Genomic DNA, 2,457 nt, shown 5'->3' with positions numbered 1-2,457 from the left:
TGTGGAGACATTTTCAATAGGTTTAGAGGGCTGATGAAAAATGATACTTCAAAGACATTTCAGCATGAAATATCCTTCAGAAAATGACTGCTGAAGTGAAAATTTCTCTCTATATAACTAAGATAACTCTTTAGGGGTCATCTAGAGAAAAAGATAATCTGGAAAAGACTTGTATGCGATGTAAATGTTAACTATGCTTTTATTAAAAAAGTAGTTTTTAATCCCAGTAGAAGTCATAGAAAAGAAAAATGGTTTTACTTTTCTCTTTATGGTAATGTGGGCTAACTACAATTATTTATTTCCATTATTGTTCAAAGGAGAAATAGAGGAGACAGAGTGAACCTGGATATTTCTGCCTTATATTACTGTGTCAGTCTTGCCAGCACATATGATAACGGAGTATCTTGTGTGACCACATTAGAGGAAAAAGTTAAGATCAGACCCAGTATTGCGTTGTTTATTCTGAGTGAAGTGGATCCTGGGCAGTTGCTATACACACTTTCCTGACTGAGGGTTGCATATCATAACTGAGAAAGAGCATAGGAGCAGTAGCATTGAAAGATTGTGACGTCTGGCTGACTATTATGAATCAGTTTTTGAACGTATTAGGAGTCAATTGTAATGACACAATTTACTAAAAACTTTTCAAAGTTTAGTTTGTATATATATAAAACTATATTGTATCGATTACAGAGTACCAATCTTCAACTTAACACATGACAATAAAAATGTGCATTGTAGGCCGGGCACGGTGGATCACGCCTGTAATCCCAACACTTTGGGAGGCCGAGGCGGGCGGATCACGAGGTCAGGAGATCGAGACCATCCTGACTAACACGGTGAAACCCCGTCTCTACTAAAAGTACAAAAAATAAGCCGGGCGTGGTGGCGGGCGCCTGTAGTCCCAGCTACTCGGGAGGCTGAGGCAGGAGAATGGCGTGAATCCGGGAGGTGGAGCTTGCAGTGAGCCGAGATCGCGCCACTGCACTCCAGCCTGGGCGACAGAGCGAGACTCCGTCTCAAAAAAATAAATAAATAAAAATAAAAAATTAAAAAAAAAAAGCGCATTCTAGCTTCCAGAATAATTTCTCACTGAATACGTAGTTCTCAAAACAAAAATGTAATACTTCTTCTAGGCTCTTCAAAGCCCCACTGGAAATTATTGCATTATGTTTACTTGTATTTTAATTTCCAATTTATATGAAGTTATGAGACTAGAATTTTTACTTCTTTTAAGAAATGTTTTAAATAAGATAGCTTAAAATCAACAAAAAGTAAGTAAAGAAGTGTGATTACTATCATTTAGCCATTCGTCTATTGAATTATTCCATAGTTTAACAAATCAACTAACAAACAAGCAATATATGTGTCAAAGAAATTGCTTTTGATATGCAAACAGCAAATAATACATATGTGTAGTAGCATTAAGTTTGCTGGCCCCCTGCTGTAAGCCCTTATGCTGCCTGGGGATAATTGTCTTTTCCAATATGAGTTGCAAGAAATCTGCTTGAATGTGCTCTGCTGGGCTTCTAGAATACCGTGTGTGCTCATAATGTAGACAATTCTTGGGAAACAGATGAATTCACTGTGTTATAGTTACCAAGTTTTCACCTTATAAATTTGCTAGGAGCAAAGAGTTGTCGATTTCTCTAAGGGTAGAAGGTTGCAAATACAACAAGAACATATGTGTTGTCACTTTAATATTTTTCAAATCATTGATGGAAAATCTATCATACTGATTGTTTTAGTTCTAAAGCAATACCACCGTTTAATAAAAGAGAATGGCTCATTGTATCTCATTTGATGTATCCTCAAGAGATTAAATAATTTAGGTGAAATAATAATATAAAGGCTGAATATTTTCTTAAATTAAAAACTAAGCAGGAGGCCAAGGAGGGAGGATCACGAGGTCAGGAGATCGAGACCATCCTGGCTAACACAGTGAAACCCCTTCTCTACTAAAAACACAAAAATTAGCCGGGCGTGGTGGCGGGTGCCTGTAGTCCCAGCTACTCGGGAGGCTGAGGCAGGAGAATGGTGCGAACCCGGGAGGCTGAGCTTGCAGTGAGCCGAGATCGCACCGCTGCACTCCAGCTTGGGCGACAGAGCAAGAGTCTGTCTCAGAAAAAAAAAAAAAAAAAAAAAAAAAAAAAAAGTAAGCAATGAGATTCCCAGACTCTTAAAGTATATCTAGCAATGGTTCATTAAGGGTTAGAGAAGATTTAAAAAGAAGCAGTGTTAAAAATTTAGGGGATGGGCCGGGCACGGTGGCTCACACCTGTAATCGGCACTTTGGGAGTCTGAGGCTGACGGGGCGGATCACCAGAGGTCAGGAGTTCAAGACAAGCCTGACCAACATACAGTGAAACCCGTCTCTACTAAAAATCCAAAAAAATTAGCCAAGGGTGGTAGCGGGCGCCTGTAATCCCAGCTTCTAGGGAAGTTGAGGCAGGAGAA

General features: G+C 39.2%; 1 annotated feature.

Annotated features, from left to right (window-relative positions):
• Window positions 396–596: a silencer, noted in NCBI's record as "peak6818 fragment used in MPRA reporter construct". NCBI's record gives its function as "represses an SCP1 promoter by STARR-seq MPRAs in K562 erythroleukemia cells {active_cell/tissue: K562}" and the evidence as "EXISTENCE:reporter gene assay evidence [ECO:0000049][PMID:32103011]".

This window comes from Homo sapiens, chromosome 7 (assembly GCF_000001405.40).
Source record: "Homo sapiens chromosome 7, GRCh38.p14 Primary Assembly".
In the NCBI taxonomy this organism is placed as follows: Eukaryota; Metazoa; Chordata; class Mammalia; order Primates; family Hominidae; genus Homo; species Homo sapiens.
This window is presented reverse-complemented; position numbering and strand designations above follow the sequence as displayed.